General features: G+C 38.0%; 1 long non-coding RNA gene across 1 annotated transcript in view; it reads left to right on the top strand.

Annotated features, from left to right (window-relative positions):
- PTCHD1-AS (PTCHD1 and PHEX antisense RNA) overlaps positions 1-21937 on the top strand; it is a 1100142-nt gene that overhangs the window by 895337 nt on the left and 182868 nt on the right. The window contains exon 5 of the long non-coding RNA NR_073010.2: positions 8090-8147. This is a non-coding gene — a long non-coding RNA (PTCHD1 and PHEX antisense RNA). The remainder of the gene's footprint in view (positions 1-8089; positions 8148-21937) is intronic.

Raw genomic sequence — 21937 nt, 5'->3', positions numbered from 1 at the left:
TTACAGATGACTAATCTAATGCTTATATGTATATTCATCCATGTAGGAGGAGGCCTACATTATGAATCACATATACACACAGAAATCTGAAATGTTGACAAAAATCTCAATATTTTGAGTAATAGAAGTTGTATTTATAGTGTATATACTTCCATGAGAAAGAAAATCTTTCTAAGGATATTTTTGTGATGTATAATTACAGTTTTTTTCAGCTATCCCTAAACTGGTGCAACTTTAGCAGCATGAATTTGAGATTCATGCTCAAAGAATTCTCAATAGATTCTCAATAGATAACACTACCTTCATATATTCGTATTTAAGAGTACCAGAGGAGTGTCTACAGCCACATTGTCCAATAAAAATATAATGTGACCACATATATAATTTTAGATTTTCTAGTAGCTTCGATTAACAATGTAAAAAGAAACAGATGAAATTAAATGTGATACTATGTTTTATTTAACCCAATGTATTCAAAATATTATCCATGCAACATATAATCAATATTTAAACTTATTAATGAGATATTTTATATTCTTTCTTCCACACTTAGTCTTTGAAATCCCGTGTGTCATGTGCTCAATCCCTCCATGTGGCTAGGGCTACCATATCAGGCAGCATAGTTTTAGAGCCTGAAATCTAAAGGTGTAAGCACCATTCACAATCACCAGAATAACCTGGGAACTTATTAAAATACAGAATCTTGGGTCTCGTCTAGACCTACTGAATCAGAATCTTCATTTTAACAGGATTCCCCCCAGATAATTCATGCACATTAAAGTTTAAGAGGCACTGGTTTAATATGATGGGCCTTTAGGAGAAATGGGAGAATTGTGGAAGAAAGAGAGGGAGAACAGTGCAAATTTTGATGTGCTTTAACAAGCTTCCAAGTGATGCTGATGCTGCTGGACTTTTGGTCACACTTTGAATGGCACGGTCCTAGGAGATGTAGTCCAGAAGTGCTCACCGAGTACCTTTTATTTTCTCAGCACTACGGACAGATAAAAGTGAGCTGGATTTCAATCTAGCACCAGAACAACTTAGATCTTCTTTGAAAGACAGGATCACTGCAGATGAAAACACCAGAAAGCAATATAAGGCAGTATTACTAACATAGCAAAATATTTGAATCAGACAGGGAGTGCTATAAGCTGTCAGGGATATGAAAAATCTGAGGATGAATCAGTGTTATCAGAGAAGGTAGTTTCTCTGGTTACGAGAGAGGAATCTAAGCTAGGCTATGAAAGAGATGCCCTAATGAAAATGTGAGAGTGGGATTGGAGAGTTTGGGCTCTGCTTACTCTGTGCAGTGATCCCTGGCTATCCTTTGCTTACTTTAAGCAAGTGATCTCCAAACTTGATTGTGCACACCTATCAGTAAAAATATCGACATATCCCCAGATGACGTAGATTTATTTACAAATTGTCTACACATACTATGCCAATTCATAAATATTAATAAAGATTAATTATCTTTTAGATTAAAACTAAATATGCATACATATTGCAGTATCATCTTGCTCTCTAATAGATTTGGAAGCCACTGCTCTAAGTCAGCATTTTTATCTTCAGGAAGACATCATAGTATTCTCCCAGCAGCATGCAGCACAGTGTGATTCAATAAACAGAGGCACCAAGTAGTAAAAACAAATATATGCTAGGAGACTCAGTTGTCACAACTTGACCTTGCAGTGGTAGATCTCACCAATAGAAAGAGTTTAGCCATTCACGAGAGGGTAGCTGTGACAGAGTTGAGCAAGCCTCAGCACAGCTTTGACAAGCACTCTTTCCCTGGCAAATTTTTCAATTTTCCTTCAGGTTTCAGTTTAAATATTCCTGAAAGAGGCCTTCCCAGACCTTGCAATCTGACTTATGACCTCTTGTTGATCCCACTCATCACATCATGCTCTTTTCCTACATAAAGCTCATCACAATTTGTAATTCTTAGTATATTTGGGGGACCATGCCTTTAACAGCTGTCTCCCTACTGGACTGTACTCCCTGTGAGAATAGTAGTTTGTTAACACTGTGTATTCAGCAATGAGACCTCAATGTAACACACAGTAGGTACTAAACATTTTGTAGAATGAATGGACAAAGGAAATTAAATATCGCCATCATAGTCCTTTTAGTTCATACATTACTACCTTTTTCTATCATGTAATGATATGCTGCATGAACTAACACTTCCTTCTCTAAGTGAGTCAGAGAGAATTAACTGGACCTTAAACACTAGAGCTCAAGTGGTGACTAATACGGACTGCTATATAGATTGGAGGGAAAATAGGACACACAGTGCGAGGGCTGTTCAAATTTTTGTCGTCATTTTAGTTCCTAATCTTGATTCTCCCTTTATAAATGCCTTTTTCTTTTCTTTCTTTTCTTTCTTTCTTGCTCTTTCTTTCTTTCTTTCTTTCTTTTTCTTTCTTTCTTTTCTTTCTTTCCTTTCTTTCTTTCTCCTTCCCTCCCTCCCTCCCTCCCTTCTTTCCTTCTTTCTTTCTATATATATATATTTTTTTTGGGGGGGGGCACGGGTGACAGGTGGTGTTTGGTCTCATGAATAAGTTCTTTAGTGGTGATTTCTGAGATTTTGGTGCACCCATCACCTGAGCAGTGTACACTGTACCCAACGTGTAGTCTTTTATCTCTCACTCTCCTCCCACACTTTCCCACACATCCTCAAATTTCATTGTATCATTCTATGCCTTTGCATCCTCATAGCTTAGCTCCCACTTGAGTGAGAACATAACGATGTTTGGTTTTGCATTCCTGAGTGACTTCACTTAGAATGATAGTCTCCAATTCCATTCACGTTGCTGCAAATGCCATTATTTTCTTCCTTCTTATAGCTGAGTAGTGTCCCATGGTATATATACATACCACAATTTCTTTATCCACTCATTGATTGATAGGCATTTGGGCTGGTTCCATATTTTTGCAATTGCAAATTGTGCTGTTATAAACATGCATGTGCAAGTATCTTTTTTGTATAATGACTTCTTTTCCTCTGGGTAGATACCCAGTAGTGGGATTGCTGGATCAAATGGTAGATCTACTTTTAGTTCTTTAAGGAATCTCCACACGGTTTTCCACAGTGGTTGTACTAGTTTACATTCCCACCACCGGTGTAAAAGTGTTTCCTTTTCACTATATCCCTGCCAACGTCTATCACTTTTTGATTTTTTTGATTATGGCCATTCTTGTGGGAGTAAGGTGGTATCATATTGTGGTTTTGATTTGCATTTCCCTGATCATTAGTTGTGTTGAACATTTTTTTCATATGTTTGTTGGCCATTTGTATATCTTGTTTTGAGATTTGTCTGTTCATGTCCTTAGCCCACCTTTTGATGGGATTGGTTTTTTCTTGCTGATTTGTTTGAGTTCCTTGTAGAGTCTAGATATTAGTCCTTTGTTGGAGATATAGATTGAGAAGATTTTCTCCGACTCTGTGGGTTGTTTACTCTGTTGATTTTTTGTTTGTTTGAGACAGAGTCTTGCTCTGTCGCCCAGGCTGGACTGCAATGGTGCAATCTTGGCTCACTGCCCCCTCTACCTCCGTGGTTCAAGCGATTCTCCTGCCTCAGCTTCCCGAGTAGCTGGGATTACAGGTGCCCACCATCATGCCTGGCTAATTTTTGTATTTTTAGTAGAGAGGGGTTTTTGCCATGTTGGCCAGGCTGGTCTCAAACTCCTGACTTGAGGTGATCCGCCTGCCTTTGCCTCCCAAAGTGCTGGGATTACAGGTGTGAGCCACTGTGCCCAGCCTGCTGATTGTTTCTTTTGCTGCACAGAAGCTTTTGAGTTTAATTAAGTCTCATCTATTTATCTTTGTTTTTGTTGCATTTGCTTTTGGGTTCTTGGTCACGAAGTCTTTGCCTAAGCCAATGTCTAGAAGGGTTTTCCCAATGTTATCTTCTAGAATCTTAATGGTTTCAGGTCTCAGATTTAAGTCTTTGACCCATCTTGAGTTGATTTTTATATAAGGTGAGAGATGAGGATCCAGTTTCATTCTTCTACATGTGTCTTGCCAATTATCCCAGCACCATGTGTTGAATAGAGCGTCCTTTACCCACTTTATGTTTTTGTTTGCTTTGTGGAAGAACAGTTGTCTGTAGGTATTTGGGTTTATTTCTGGGTTGTCTATTCTGTCCCATTGGTCTATGTGCCTATTTTTCTCATATGCCATGCAGATATATATTGTTCAGGCCTATTATGCACATTAGGCTTAATGGGGAAATGTCAGTGACTGTCAAAATGACAACTTCCTGCTGATGTTAAAGGAATCTGATCAAGCAACAGATGGTCAGCAGCAGCAGATTTGCTCTCTACTTTCTCTGGGTTTTTATTCTGTTGTTTATAAAATTGTTGGTCATAGGTTGTTGGATTCAGTGAAAGCAGCCCATATGAGCTGAGATATCTATTTCATTTACTATGTCCGTACAAGAAGAAAACATGTCCCAACCTTAAATATTGATTATGCCTGACATGCAAAACATGCCAATGTCCCAGATCCCCAGTTACCATTAGACTGAACATTTTGTTATATCCTTTTGCATTCACATATGTATGGACTTGCCTGTGATGTCATCATTAAAGCACTTTCATATTCTACAATAGTCAGGTTGCTTTTCTGCGTTGACGTTAGGAAGCATTATCTAATTTTAGCTGAGTGCAAGTCTGTATCATGCTATTGTGTGAGTGTGTTTTAAATGCACTTTGTATAGCCACATTTTGATGGGTAAGTTTCACAAATATGCAATTGATCCTTGTATAGCTGCCTTTAATCGGTTTCAGTATTTTCTTCAATAGATTCTATGCATGTATCATTTTGTCATTTCTCAGTTGAGGGAATGCTCAGAACTTGCCAGAAGCAGCAAAAATTCACATTTATAGAATACCTTTTCACTGTATTGAGATGCTTCATCTTTCATAATCTTTCTGGAAGACATTTCTGAGGAATTTCTCCGAAGACAGATGCATTGGTTTCTGTGACTGATGACAGTCTGACTTCACAAGTGGCCTTCTTGAGAGGTTACTAAGACTTGACACATTAACATCCCATAAATCTCCCATGTTCCAAGTCTTAAACATACATTTCCTTTCCCCTAGCCACAGCACAGAGAAATGCTTGTGCTCCTTTGACAGTCATGCCTAAGAAAGGAAAACAGGGAGCCACTTTTGCACAGACATAAACCTGCTCAATGTCTCAGATATTTTATGTACCTACCCCACTTCTCTCTTGAAGTCTCCAAGAAAACACACATGACCTTTGATAGTTCAGAAAAATCTTGTAAACCTCTCTGTGATGTTTAATAATTTCACTCTTCTTACGGGAATGATGCACCAGCCGGTACAGACAGCTTGTGGAACTCGGCTCATGGGTAAAATGTTCAGTCTCACGCTGTTTTAACAACATTGGCTCTATCATCAGTGCAAATAGAAACGGTGGAAAGAATCTGAGGAGTGAGGTATTTATTTGGAATTTCAGCTGAGATTATGTTTTTCTAGGCACTGCAGTGAAGGTGCACTTTCCGAGAGACGAAGAACTAGCAGAGTGCCACAGAGTCCCCCGTGAGGGCTTACTCAATATTTGCTGGTAATAATTATGATGTCATTCCCTGAGGCAGGCGTCAGTTAACAAACTCTTTGAATCTAAATCAGCCCTGATTTAATTTGCCCTTCAGTAAAGGTTAAAACAGAGAGAAATTCAAAGTATACATCTTGTAGAAGAAATAGACTGCAGTTTTTAAATGTTCAATTTTTCCACTCTTTCTTTCCAATTATGAGTGTCTCCTCTCACCCTAAGCAAAAAAAGTCAGTATAATTATGCCCAAATAAGAAGATTAAGTCTAGAAAGTAACACAATTTTCCTTATCCTCACAAAATGTGTCTTGTATTGTGTGCATGTGTTTTTAATTTGCATAATTGCTATTTTCTTGGTCTTTTTTTTTTTTTTTTTTTTTTTGAGACAGAGTCTCGCTTTGTCACCTAGGCTGGAGTGCAGTGGTGCAAACATGGTTCACTGCAGCCTTAACATCTCTTTTTATTATATATTTTATTCAGTTTATTTCTTTTTATCCTTAGCACTGGGGAATATTTCTTGCATTGGGCTCACCAACTCATAACATGTTTACAATGGGCCCCTGTTTCTAATGAGTTATTTGTCCCTTTTTTCTTCCTTCCTTTTTTTTCTTTCTTTCTTTTTTTTTTTTTTTCCCCCAGATGGAATCTTACCCTGTCGTGCCCAGGCTGAAGTGCAGTGGTGCAATTTTGGCTCACTGCAACCTCTGCCTCCCGGGCTCAAGTGATTCTCATGCCTCAACCTCCTGAGTAGTTGGGAGTACAGGCATGTGCCACCATGCCTGGCTAATTTTTGTATTTTAAGTAGAGGTGGGGTTTCACCATGTTGCCCAGGCTGGTCTCGAACTCCTGGCCTCAAGTGATCCACCTGCCTCAGCCTCCCAAAGTGCTGGGATTACAGGCGTGAGCCACCACACCCGGCCTCTTCCTTCGTTTTGTATTGATTGTTGACTCACTAGGAAAGACTTCTCATATCTTTTAGGGTGAGACTTACGATTGTCTGTTCTAGTAGTTCTCAATTCTGGCTGTACAACAGAATCTCTCGATGCTTTTGAAAAAGCATCATACCCAGACCGTATCCCAAACCAATGAAATCATGACATGGAAGCAATGGGACCTAGTGGCAGTACCTTTAGAGTTCCTCAAGTGACGCCACTGTGTAGCTGAGGGTAAGAACTGCTAGTCTACACAAATGATTCAAACGATTACTAGGTAGTTCTGAGTTTTAAAAAGTTAAAAATCCCACAAATGTTTAATTAAAAAAATTAAAAGTCCCACAAAGCCATTAGACAATGGACAATTGTCTGGAAAGATTTCATAAAGCCAAACCCTGTGAGGATTTAAAGAAATAGGACAGACACGGTAATGTGGCAGGTTTAGCAATTACTGCATTCTCTGAGTAACTATCCGAGGCAGTATGTCATAGACCTGCTGGCTTCTGACGCAGTCTCTGCACCTCATACTAGCTGTAAGACTTTGGGCATTTTATTTATCATCTCAGTGTATCTATTTCCTCTTCTGTAAACTGGTGTTGATATTACCAAAGCCTATGTCATTTCATGAAGATTAAGGGTCAGAAAATATTTTCTGAAAAGGGCTTATAATTTTGGCTTTATAGGTCATACAGTCTCTCTGCAACTACTCAGCTCTGCCATTGCAGCACGAAGGCAGCCATAGACATTAGGTAAATGAACGGATGTGGCTGTGTTCCAATAAAACTTTATTTACATAAACAGGTAGTAGCCCAAATTTGGCCCACAGGATATAATTTGCCAATGCCTGTACTAATACATGCCTCGTGGCTGGCACAGTGGGTTGCTATATTTGTTGTCATTGTTATGAAGCCTAAAAAGTAGCCCATCTCCCTAAGATGTGTGCATTTACCCTTCTCTCTCAGCTCCACCCTTGGCCTCTTTCAAACGGACCAGCCTCCAGCACGTAGCACAAAGCTACAATAGCTGCAGGTCTTAGGACAGGAGAAAACATCAGGTTTCCCCCGTTCATGAATGTGCTCTCCCCTTCCAGTCAACACAGTCACGGAGCAAGGAGAAAAGAAAACCGGGGCCAGAGTGCAGGGCCAGAAGTACACATCTCCCAGTGGTGCATCACTTTATAGGAGCAAACACCACAGACACTAAAGCCATCAGGGAAAACTGTGAATTAAACCATGAGTGGTAAGGAGCTGCCAAAATCCCAGAGATGTAATAAATCATTACTGTCAACTGCTCAGCACGAGTAATAAAAAATCAATCCACTAAGCTAGAAATGAATTTGAAAATTGTGATTTAAACAATAGTAATGTGTGAGCAAAATAAACAGAGAAGCAGTTGTGCTATTTCATCTTTCAAATAAGGACAGAGGAGAGTGATACCAGGGGTTTGTTTTCTTTTACATCAACGGAGCAGTAATCAGTGAGGAATGGCTGTGTGAGTCAGCAGTTAGAAACAAAACTGAATGTGATGGTGTACTCTTTCCTGAGGATATTAAACCCATTATTTTTGTTTTGCAGGTCACATTTCAAAGGCCAGATCTTTCCCAGGGCTTAAGCTGTTCCTTGGATACTTTTGGTAAGTCATTTATCCACTAATCATTTAGTAATCGTCTCTGACATGCCAAACACCCTGCTCAGGGCTGGAAATGCAGAACCTGGGAAGCCACTGGCCTTGTCCTCAAGATCTCTCTCTGGCTCCCTTTGAATTTGCTAATTCAGACTTTCACATTTCCCCCAGGAAAAATCATAAGGACCAAATCATATCCGTTTTCTCAAATGGCTTCAAAGACCCATGTCATCGTTTGGCATCATGTAATTCTTTACTGATGTACTTTAAGAGTCACGTTTTATTCTCTTTATGCAGCTGTCAAGGACAGACACAAAGAGTGGGGGTGTCTTCCTCACTAAATACTTTCCCACAACACTCCAGAGTAGATTCATCATTTAAATAAACACTAACAGCTATCTGACCTGTTTTAAATGTATGGAAAGACTTGTGAGGAGAGGGAAAGAAAGGGACCGTAATAACTGGTAGGAATTTATCACAGTTCCTGTCTGCAAACACATACAAAAGTCAGGTAGGGAGAGCCAAATGCCTGGATGCTATTCAAGGTCTTACTCAGGAGCAAATCTGTGGTAGGCACAATAATGTACCCCTCCAAGGATGTCCATGTCTTAATCCCCTGAAGCTGTGAACATGTAACCTTACATTACAAAAGGGACTTCGCAAGTGTGATTAAGTTAAGCATCTTGAACTGGAAACATTACCCTGGATTATCTGCTTGGGCCAATGTAATCACAAGGGTCCTTATAAAGGAAAGAAGGAGGCAGAAGAGTCAGAGAGAGATTTGAAGATGCTATGCTGCTGGCTTTGATGACAGAGGAAGGAAGTCGTGGGGCAAGGAATGAAGGAGGCTTCTAGAAGTTAGAAAAGGCAAGGAAACAGATTCTCCTCAAAAGCCTCCAAAAAGGAACACAGCCCTATGGCCTCCAGAACTGGAAGATAATAAATAACATAAGACTATCATAATGGTTTGTTGGGGGTTTGAGAATATTTTATTGGCACAGCATGTTTTTCACATCAGATTATTTGTTGAACTAATGACTGGAAAACACAGGAAAATACAAAATAGTACATGGGGATCTACAGAAAATGTTCTCTAAGAGATAGGAACAATTTGATGTTTGTGGGTACATGTGTGCATGAATGAAACTATATTCTAGCCCATGAGATCTTCAAGACTCTTAGAAACACACTGACCAATAACTTTTAAATAAATTTATCTTGACAATCAAATGGCAAAATTTTTACAGAATATATTGTACAAATGTATAAGTACAGAATATATTGTATTTACGTATTCCTAATTTTAATATACAGTCCCTTTTATATATCCATTTAAAAGACCCTTATAGGTGATCAAATTAGTGTTCCAAAATAGGGATATTTTAGAATAAAATGTATTAGTTATGCTTAAGCAATCAAGGTCACAGTGGGGTGTGACCATAGAACAGAATTCCAGCTTTGATAATTCTGAGATCTCAGAATTTTAGTGGTATGTCTAATTCTAACCCTTCATATGCTCCTTCCTACCACCAAGGCACTGCTCTAAGTGCTTTACAAATATGAACTTAGTTAATCCTCACAGCAACCCCTTGAGGTGTTTGCTTTCATTATCTCCGTTATACAAACTAAGAAACTGAGGCACACAGAGGCTAAGTAACCTGCCCAAGGTCCTAGAGAATTTTAACCCCCTAGTCATGAAGAGGATTTGAGAACTATTGGCCTGTTCCAGGGATATCATGGTGAGGAACTCTCCAGCAGGGATGTAGGAAACTGGCCCTGATACAGGAACAGCAGAGAACATATATCCTGCCTTACTTGGATTAGGGTGTGATGGAGTTCTGACACACCCATAACCATGGCAACCCAGTCCCAGAGGAAGGTGGTATAAGGCCCTTGATGGAGGAAAACTACCAAACTGAAAGAGCAAGGCTAATGTTTGTGATCAAAAAGAAGAGTGATCATTATGCAGATTATGCAACTTTGACTCAAGAAGCTTCCCACTGGAAGGGTAAATCTCCTTCCCCCAAGTTACCTCTGAGCTGAGCAGAAGCTCAGTCTACGATGGGAGCAGAAGACCTCCCCAAGCAGGCCTGATCATAGTGGGGAAGTGGAGCAGTCACCTAAGAAGAGGGAGGGAGGAGAGGAGGAAAAATGATGCTGGTCCAGTTTGAGTCCCATAATAACAGCATAAACATAACTTCATCACGTGGACCCAGGAGAAAAATAAACTATTGTAGTAAATAGCAAAATCAGTAGTGTTCCAACTGTTAATTAGTTTATTCTAGAGTAGTAATAACACTAAAATATTTAATTGACTCTTTTAAAAAATTGAAGCTTAATTATTTCCATGTAATATTGGAAGTCAAATTGGCTAATAAAAGCCTACAGCAAATCGCCATAACAAAATGCTTTTCTCACTTACACCTTAGTTACAGGTAAGGAGCTGTTTTTATTTCAACATCTCATGCTCACCCCCACCATGATCAAAAAAAATTCTCTATAATAAACACACAGAATTTAATAGTGGAGGCCACTTTAGCCCTTGAGTCTTTGGGCAACATAGAAGCAAGGCAGTTTTTGTTTAAACAGTCAGAAGGCTCTTTGCTAAGGCATTAAACAGAAGCGTTGTTTCCCACCCGTCCCAAAAAAAACATTGATTTATCAGAACTCTGAATTAGATTTCCATAAACTATATAGGAAAACCAAACATGTTAAAAATTGAAACAAGGAAACATTTGGTTTATTTAAGAACATGCACCCAAACATATGTGTCTAGATTTTTTGAGTTTTCAAATCTCGGCCCAAAATATCTTGGGAAAACAGATACACCAAAGAGGATTCTTGGCATACATCTTTCTGAGTTGTAAATACTGGGAGAATAATGTTCCTGTAAATAATTCTGGCACATTTCATGTCAAGATCAACAATACTTAGAAGAGAATCTGATTCCATCAAAGTTAGTGTTGAACTCTAATTTTAATCAAATTATATAAACTACTAATTTCTGACAGCCGATTTATTTGCATTTATTCTGCCACAAAGTGAAAAAGGTCCTGCTTACTGGAGCAGAGCTGAAAAGAGGGCCTCTTTGTTTTGTGACTTCTTCCCCCACTGCCAATGTTCATACACGTATAAACTCACAGAATTTAATAGCTGAAGCCACTTCAGTCCTTGAGTCTTTGGGCAACATAAAGCAGTAGAAAAAGCATGAATTTTGTGGATGGCACGAAACCCAGCTCAACTCATGTGGTGGGCAAAAAGTATTCAACTTTGAAGAGATAATTGCACAAGTGGGAGAAGGTATCTGCAGAAGGCTGTTTGCTGAGGCAGGCACTGTTTATAATAATAAATAAAAATAAATGTAAGCAAAATGCCCAGAAATGGAACTATTTAAGTGTGGTGCAACCATACAACAGAGTACTGAGCGATCTTTAAAAGCCATGTTGTGGATCTATATTTGTTGCATGAGATGTTATCCATGAAATAGTGATGAATGAGAGGGGCCAGTCAAAAAATAACATGTGCAGGGCAGTCCTATGTAAGTAAAATTGAATACATTTAATGCATTTATACATAAGTGCAAAGAGGTATCTTACAGGAGGTTCACCAAAATAACAACTATGGTTCTCTCATGATACAATTTCTAGTGATCATTATTTTCTAGTTCTCACTTTTTGGCCCTTAGTGGTTCTACAATGAATATGTAATATTTCTGTAGAAATAATAAAGCTGAAGTACTATGCAGTAGTTTGAACCAACGATGCATACACAGAGCAGTATAGATGTATTTTAAAAGCACAGTGCTAGGAATAAAAAATAACCTGAATGAAATAGATAATAAGAAAAGAGGTCGAGGCTGCAGTGAACCATGTTTGCACCACTACACTCCAGCCTGGGTGACAAAGCGAGACCCTGTCTTACAAAAAAAATAAGAAAGAAAAGAAAATAGCAATTATGCGCATTAAAAACACATGCACATAATACAAGACACATTTTGCAAGAGCCTATTGCAGTAAAAAATAAACATTAACCAGTACGTTCATCAGTTGTAACAAATATACCGCTGTGGTAGGGGATGTTGATAATTCGGGACTCTATGTATGCGTGTGTGTGGATGTTGGGGGTAGATGGAAATTCTCTGTACCTTCCTCTCAATTTTGCTATGAACCTAAAACTGCTCTAAAAATAAGATCTTTAAAACGAAATGAAATAAAATAAGATACTTATTGAAGATTTTCCAATGATTGTCCCTGGTAGAGGCTAGGAAAGGGGCAATGGGAGAGCAGAGTGGAGGAAAAAGGAATAAACTGATAAATTAATTGCCTGAACTAATGATAATAAATTGCCCTGTACTATTACTCAACCGCACTGCCCCCCCGCCTCTGAGGGTCTCAAAATGTAGGCACAAACTTGAAAGCAAGAAATATTTCAGTGTATAAACATCTGTACACATGAAAATATTGATAGTGTTTTTAGCTATTTTCTTTCTTTTTTTTTTTTTTTTTGAGACGGAGTCTGGCTCTGTCGCCCAGGCTGGAGTGCAGTGGCGCAATCTCGGCTCACTGTAAGCTCCGCCTCCCGGGTTCACGCCATTCTCCTGCCTCAGCCTCCCGAGTAGCTGGGACTACGGGCGCCCGCCACCACGCCCGGCTAAGTTTTTTGTATTTTTAGTAGAGACGGGGTTTCACCGTGTTAGCCAGGATGGTCTGGATCTCCTGACCTCGTGATCCGCCTGCCTCGGCCTCCCAAAGTGCTGGGATTACAGGCGTGAGCCACCGCGCCCGGCCGTTTTTAGCTATTTTCAAAGAAACTAAGGTGCATAGGATTTAGAACCATTTAGACTTGCAGACAAATGGTCTTGGACACACAATTTCACTAAAGCCCCACTGGTTTATGTGTAAAATAAAGAGAATAATAACTACCATTCCGAGGTGTTATAAAAAGTTGTGTAATCTTATCTTCAAAAATCACTGTGATTCCCGGTTACAGCTCAGACATGTAAAGAGCTTAGAAATTGTCACTCCCATTCTTATAGCAAGCAAAAGCTGGATAAGCTAAAACTCAACAAGTTGTTTTGGACTTATCAGAGAACTAAATTTGCAAGTCAAATCACCATGCTGAAATCTGGTAACAGGCAAATCCGGAGTCACGGACACAATCTGCTTACCTAAAATAGAAGTCACTGGAGCCATAAACTGGTAGGAACACTTAGTAATTTTGACAAGTTTCTGGAGGCTGAGTGTAGACTGGCTTGAGACTGAGAAACTCCTTGGGGCCACCATATTTTCATTGACTTTATCTCCAGGATCCCCACTAGGTTCTCACCGCGAAGAGTCAACAAAGGTACCCTTGTGGCTTAGGTAGGGAGAGTAGACGGATAATCTTGGTAAAATATGTCCAGAACCTTCTCCATAGCAAAGGCCTTGTCTTCAGAGGAAAGTACTTTACCAGAGCCTTGTCCCAGAGATCTCACCATAGCCCCCTCTAGCGTTCCTCACCTAATTGGGAGGGGAGAAACTATACAAGAAGAAACACTTCCCTTTTGATTCTCGGTGATCACAGGTCAAAGATGCAAGTCAGGTAAAAGGCTGAGACTTAATTGGAAGGTTGTAGAATGCTTCACCGCCTCCACAGTTTCTCATCATACCAACGGGGCTCCAGTATAACAAGAGGATATTACAGCTGAAAGAACTGAAAGACATGGATCTTCTCTAAGAAGAAGTACTTTGGGAATTTGAAGCCTCTGGTACCTATAGCTACAGCAAACATAAAACAAAGCCCAACTCCTAGCCCGATTAACATAAACCTCACACCATAGGCATATTTACCTTAGTTCCTATTACGCAGTACATGTCTAACTTTCAATTAAAAGATATAAGCCATGCCAGAAGGCAAAGAAAAAAAAAAAGTCTCAAGAGACAAAGCAAGCATCAGAACCAGATTCAGGTGTGACACAGATGTTGGACTTAACAGACAGGGCATATAAAATTACAATAAATAATATGATAAGGGCTCTAATGGAAAAAATAGACAACATACAAGAACACATGAGTAAAGTAAGCAGAGATATGGAAACTCTAAGAAAGAATCAAAAGGAAATACTAGAAATCAGAAGCACTTTAACACTAATGAAGAATGCCTTCAGTGGACTCATCAGTAGATTCAATAGTTAAGGAAAGAATCAATGAGTCTAAAGGTAAGTTAATTAAAAAAAAAAAAAAAACCCTAAAATGTAAAGAGGAAAAAGGCAATGAAAAAAACTTAACATTTAAGAACTGGGGGACAATTTCAGAAGATATAACATGTGCAATTGGAATACCAAAAAGAGGAAAAAAAAAAAAAAAGAGAGAACAGAGCAGGAGAAATTTTTGAAGTAATAATGACTGAGAACTTTCAAAAATGAATGACAGACAGCAAACCACATCCAGGAAGCTCAGAGAATGCCAACCATAATAAATCCCAAAAAATATACCTAGGCATGTCATATTCAAACTGCAGAAAATCACAAAGAGAAAAATCTTAAAAGAAGCCAGAGAATAAAAACACCTTACCTGTAGAGGAATGAGAATATGAATTACATCTGACTTTTAATCAGAAACCATGCAAGAGACTAGAGTGAAATATGTAAAGTGCTGAAAGACAAAAATCACCAACCTGGTATTCTATATAGAAAGAAATTATTCGTGAATGTTTCTCGGACAAAAAAAAGAGTAGGCCGGGTGCAGTGTCTCACGCCTGTAATCCCAGCACTTTGGGAGGCCGAGGCAGGCGGATCACGAGGTCAGGAGATCGAGACCATCCTGGCTAACATGGTGAAACCCCGTCTCTACTAAAAATACAAAAAATTAGCCGGGCGTGGTGATGGGCGCTTGTAGTCCCAGCTCCTCGGGAGGCGGAGGCAGGAGAATGGCGTGAACCCGGGAGGCGGAGCTTGCAGTGAGCCGAGATCGTGCCACTGCATTCCGGCCTGGGCGACAGAGCAAGACTCCGTCTCAAAAAAAAAAAAAAAAAAAAAAAGAGTAGAGTGAAATATTTAAAGTACTGAAAGACAAAAATCACCAACTTGGTATTCTATATAAAAATTATTCGTCAAATGTCTGTTTCTCAGACAAACAAGTGAGATAACTCATTGCTAGCAGAACTGCCCTGCAAGAAATGTTAAAAGATTTTCTTCAGGCAGAAAGACAACTGTAAAAGTCAGACGCTTGGACCTACATAAAGAAAGGATCTACGTCAGAGAAGGAATGAATGAATGTAAAATAAAATATTTTATTTTTCTTAATTATTATATACAGTTATATACTTGTTATATGTAACAAGTAACAATAGGAACAATGTATTATATGATTATAGCATATGGATAAACAGTGTCCCAAGGGAAGGGAGGAAGAAGTTGGGAATACACTGTTATCAGGTACCTGCACTACACATGAAATGCAGTAATGTTGTCTGAAGGTGGACCTACATTAGTTTAAAATATATTTTGTAAACTTCAGGGCAACCACTAAAAAGCTTTTTTAAATAAGTATAATTTCTATGCTAAAAGAAGACATAAAAGCTGAATGAAATAAAATGCTCAACTGAAACCAGGAAAGACAGAAAAGGAAGCTTCCGGTAATATATAAGAAAAAAGTTACAAGCATGGTTGATATTAACCCAAATATATTAATAATTACTTTAAATGTGAATGGTCTAAATACAGCAATTAAAAGACAGTGATTGTCATAGTGGCTGCAAAACAAGACCTAATTATATATTGTCTACAAGAACATCACTTTAAATGTGAGGACTGATAGGTTAAAAGTAAAGTGATAGAGAAAATATACCATGCTACCACTAATCAAAAGAAAGTTGAAGTAGCTTTATTAATTTCAGACAAAGCAGATTTCAGAGCAAGGAAATTTATCAGGGATAAAGGAGACATTACATAATAATAAAAGGGTCAGTTCTCTAAGAAGACATAGCATCCCTAAACATGAATGCCTCTAAAGATACATGAAACAAAAACAGATAGAACTAAAAGGATGAAATGAGGAATCCACTATTATAGTTGGAGACTTCATCCCCTGTCACCCCTATCAGTAATTGTTAGATGAAGCAGGCAGAAAATCAGTTAAGGCTGCATGCAGTTGACCTGAATGGCACTATCAATCAACTTAATGTAATTGACATTTATGAAGGACTCCATCCAACAGCAGCAGAATACACATTCTTCTCCATTTTGCATGGAACATGCACCAAGGCAGACCACCTCCTGTACCATAAAACATACCTTAACAAATTTAAAAGAGTAAAAATTATAAAAAATATGTTCTCAGACAGCAGTGAAATTGAACTAGAAACTAATAACACAAAGATGGCTGGAAAATTCCCAAATATTTATAAATTAACACACTTGTAAAGACCACACGACTTAAAGAAGTATCAAAAAAGTTTAAAATATTTTGAACTAAAAGAAAATGAAACTAAAACTTGTCAAAATTTGTCGAATGCAGCAAAAGCAATGCTTAGAGGGAAATTTATAGCATTAAATGCATATAATAGAAAAAAATAAAGGTTGAAAAATCAGTTACCTAAGTTTCCACCTTAGGAAACTAGAGAAATAAGAACAATTTAAGCCTAAATCAAGCAGAAGAAAAGAAATAAAAATTAGAGCCTAAATCAATGAAATTGAAAACAGGTAAACAATAGAGAAAATTAACAGACCAAAAGCGATTTATTTTTTAAAAAATCAGTAAAATTAACAAAACCCTAACCAAGCTAATAGAGAAAGAGAGAAATTATCAATATTAAAAATGAAAGAAGGGTCATCTCTACTGTTCCATGAATATGAAAAGATACTATAGGAATATGGTATTCTGAACAACTCTATGTCCACAAATTTGATGATTTAGATGAAATGGACTAATTTCTTGAAAGATGCAAACTACTAAAACTTACACAAAAAGAAATAGATATAGAACTCTTAAGATTATCAATTAAAAAAAAAACAAATCAATAAAATAGCCTTACAAAAAAGGAAATTATCAAGCCCAGATAGTTTCACTGGTAAATTCTATCAAACATTTAAGGAAAAAATGATACCAATACTCCACAATCTCTCCCAGAAAGCGGAAGAGCAGAAAGGAACACTTCCTAACTCATTCTATCAGGGTACCTTCACCCTAATACTAAAACAAGATGACACTGCAAGAAAGGAAGACTACAGACCAGTATCTCTCATCAGCATACATGCCAACTTGTAGTTAAGATAAATAAGTTCTGGAGACCTAATGTACAGCCTGGACTGTAAGTAATAATAATGTATTCTATACTTGAACTGTTAAGAGAGTAAATCTTAAGTATTTTTACCACAAAAAAAGTAACTGTGTGAGGTAATGGACATGTTAATTAGCCTGATTGTGATAATGTTTTCACAACGTATATGTGTGTGAAAACATGACATTGTACGCCTTGAATATATGAAATTTTTATTTGTTGATTACACCTCAAAGCTGAAAAAAGTTCTTAAATTAATTAGAATAAAATTAGGCAGCTGGATGCGGTGGCTGGCGCCTGTAATCCTAGCACTTTGGGAGGCTGAGGCGGGTGAATCACGTGAGGTCAGGAGTTTGAGACCAGCCTGGCCAACATGCTGAAATCCCATTAACCAGATGTGGTGGCACCTGCCTGTAATCTTAGTTACTTGGGAGACTGAGGCAGGAGAATTATTTGAACCCAGGAAGCAGAGGTTGCAGTGGTCTGAGATCGCACCACTGCATTCCAGACTGGGCAACAGAGCAAGACTGTCTCAAAAAATAAATAAAACAAAATAAAATTAGTTAACTACTGACATACATACAAAAATCTTCAACAAGATATTAGCAGATCCAATAATGTTAAATAAGAACGATATACTATAATCAAGTGGGATTTATTCCAGGTATGCAAGGGTGGTTCAATATAAAAAATCAATCAGTGTAATCTACCACATTAAGATGAGCCTGGAGCATGTCATAGTTCCAGAAAGTAGAAAATGCAAAAGAAAACAACAGATAATGATGGAGGTATGACAAGGGGGTACAGGAGCCAATTAAAAGAGCTGGAACAATTTGAGCAATAAAGTAGTATTGGATTATAACCCAACCCAAGTTATAATATAAATATCCATGAATCCAAACTGATATAAGTGATTAAATAATTAAATAAATGGGGCATAATAAACACATCTTCCAAGTAGAAGAGTTCCAAATAATTTACAGAGATACTCTGCCCTTAAGGAGGTGGAGCACAGCTCCTCACTCCTCACTCCTTTAGTGTATGTTACATACACATAGTAACTTTCTTCCAAAGAGTATAATATGGAAAGGGAGGCGGGGGAAAAAAAAGAGTAAGTTGACAGTGGAGAAACTTGACAAACATACCAGTCAGATGATCATTAATATTGACAGTGGAAAGTCGTATCGATAGCCTGTATTTATGTGATAATGTGTTGAGAATAACCTTTTACTTCTGTGTCTTCCTTCCACAAACCCATAACCCCAGTTTAATCATGAGAAAACAGCAGACAAATCCCAACTGAGGGACATTCTACAAAATACCTGACCAGTAATCCTCAAAACTGTCAAGATAGTTAAAAAAAAAAAAAAAAAAAAAAAAAAAGGAAAGTTGGAGAAACTTTCACAACCTAGAGGTGCCTAAGGAGACACTTCTATTAAATGTAATGTGGCATCCTAGAAGGGATCCTGGAACAGAAAGCAGACATTAGGGAAGATTTGAGGAAATCTGAATAATGTATGAACTTCAGTTAATAATCATGTATCAGTATTGGTTTACTAATGATGACAAATGTACCATGCTAAAGATGTTAATAATAGGTGAAACTGGATATGGGGCATACGGGAACTCTCTGTACTGTGTTTGCAATAGTCCTGTAAATCTAACACTGCTCTAAAGTTGAAAAAGGTTACTTTTAAAGTGATTATTATTATTTTAAAATTAACATAGCATGCCAAAAGTTTTTTTTAGGGTAAGTGACATGGGCAGAATGATTCATCTAGTCCTTCATCGTGATGTCCACATCTACAAATACATTTGTCCAACTGAGCAATTTGTGTATCAGCCCACATTGATAGGTTCTGCTTTACCAGCTGTCCCTATTTCTGAGAAAATAGGTCAATTTAAGTTTTGCTGACTTCTCACACTAGCTCCCTGCCCACGCCTGCACACCCACGTGCCACAGTTGCATTCCAGATTGACAAATCATTAAATGATCGTTATCTGGTTTTGAAAAAAAAATGAAATACAAAGATAAAAAGTAAAACTTGATTATTTGCTCTGCCTTTGAATTGCATTGCTTTGGGTGAACCACTGTTGTAAGACAGACTTAGTATAGTTCCCCTTTTCCTTTCCCCAGGCTCATTCAAATGGGCTGTTTAATGGTTAAAAGGCAGGCCAAAGGAAGGAAGAGAGAAAAGCTTCAGGAGAGGGAAAATCTAGAAGCTGAACTCAAGCCCCTAAATAATTAACTTGGCTATAGAGGCTCCATTTTGTTTCTCTTATCTTCTTTTGACTTTTAAGTGGCAATCCTATTCTTCTTCATAAATATCCTTCTGTCTTGGCTTCTGGCTTTACAGATGACTGGCACTTTTAAATTGTGAGAATGGTTTACCTTTCTGGCTGAGCAGTCTCTCAAAAATCATTTTATTATGGGGGAGAAAACAAGGCTAGCAGCTCAATGAGTTGTCTCTTGGCAGCGTATCTTTTTATTTCTGAACTTCACTGTGACCTGTTTGCCTTGTCCCGCTGCCACTGTCTAATCTAACATCCTAATAACAGCCCATACCTTGTAATTTGGATTTTCAAAGCTGTATTTTTCAACCATGTTCTTTCTGTCCAAATCAAAGGCACTGTTTCAATGTCAGTAGGAGAGACAATAAGAGAAAACATATTGAGGCACACGTGTGGACGCACATGCGTACACAGGTACACATGCACACGCACGCACACTCAAACAGCTTCAAGTCAGGGATTTATCTGAATTTTAGCTCAAATATTTTCTGTTTCTCTTTCCTCTGTTTTCGAGCATCTAGTTTCCTGAACTGTAAAGGAAGTTTGGGGTTTGAGTTATTTTTATTTTTCAGTGACCTAAATATTAAGTGTCTCAGCCATTATATTTTCAGATCAATATTAAACATTTTCCTACTTAAGATATGGAGATATTTGTAAATAAAAGTATTCTGACCTTCAAGAACATGTAATTTAAGTACACAGGCATCTTGTATTGTTGCCTGAACTTATATTTTGAACTTTATTCATCTGTTCCATGGTCCATGCCAGTAGTGATTAAATTAGTAAAACTTCCTGTGGTCAGAGGGTCTTTGAATAAGAGGAATATTTTTTTCCATCTCTCCACCCAGTTACTTCTTCCCACAAATGTACTAACCTTTTAGATAGAAATGCTGTTTACAAACACCTCCAGGGGAAATTTAGTCTATCTTTTTAGCCGTTGAGAATTTTAGGACTATAAGTGTCTGAAAATAATCAGTTCAACACTTCGTTTTACATACAAATAATAATTTGTAAAAACAAGAAACTAATATTATTAGCACACACATACCATAATATAAATTATCTGATTTATCCCCTTAAGTCTGGGAGTCTGCTAAAATTTAGATAATTAGAGGAGGCAAAGTAATCGATAAGCTCCCTGCTAAGCATCGAGTTATACTCTTTAATGTATGCGGATTATGTACCAAGAAACCACAATTAGCAAATTAAACAATTGTGCTGTTATAATAATTAAATTCTCTAATTTAGCTCTTCTTCTATAAAGTTTTACTTTCATTTCCAACTGTTGTTACTGTAGAGAAAGTAAAATTACTTGGCTGTCACAAATACGCTTACATTTACATCCCCCAAATTTCACAGTCCAAGAACTCTATGAATATATGTGAATATGTGCACACATTGTTATCTTACCTTGATTCATAAAGAACTTCAAGCCGTTTACAAAATCCCTGTAACATAGCAAAATAAAAGCCCATTAAAATATGAAAAATGTGAGTCAAAGGACAAATAATGTCAGTAAACTAATAGGGAACCAGAAGTAAGGTTGGAACACAATAGTGTTCATGCCAGAGGTGGATCAACACTTTAGGCTCTCAGGTTTCCAAATGCCCATAGGAAAGTGGACACTTTCAAACTATGCGAAATCTATATGGGGAAAAGTAAACTAGTTACTCAGGAAAAGCACCACTGCTACTGAGACCAGGGTACAAAGTATCTCCCAATTCTGTCTCAGAAAGGTCAGTTTAATTGTGCTGACAAAAGTATCTTTATGGTAAACATAGTGAAAAGTTTCTTAGAGTTATGACTGAGAAAGTTTATTTATTTATTATTTGTTTGTTTGGTGGACAAGATCTTTAATTCTTCACTGCACTTGAAAAAAAAATCGTAATGACATCCAGATAAACAAGGGATAAAGGTAACCACTTCCAACTTCAGGCCCTGAGCAGACAGCGGTGCTCAGGTTATATTTCAGGGATGCCGAAAAGGCCTTCTGGGCTGGGCGCGGTGGCTCGTGCCTGTAATCCCAGCACTTTGGGAGGCCGAGGCGGGTGGACCACTTGAGGTAAGGAATTCAAGACCAGCCTAACCAACATGGCAAAAGGCCGTCTTTACTAAAAATACAAAAAATTAGCCAAGTGTGGTGGCACGCGCCTGTAATCTCACTTACTCAGGAGGCTGAGGCAGGAGAATCACTTGAACCCAGGAGGCGAAGGTTGCAGTGAGCTGAGATCGCGCCACTGCACTCTAGT

The sequence above is a fragment of the Homo sapiens genome, chromosome X (genome assembly GCF_000001405.40).
Source record: "Homo sapiens chromosome X, GRCh38.p14 Primary Assembly".
Lineage (NCBI taxonomy): Eukaryota > Metazoa > Chordata > Mammalia > Primates > Hominidae > Homo > Homo sapiens.
Note: the sequence above shows the minus strand (reverse complement) of the source record. Positions and strands in the feature narration are given on the sequence as shown.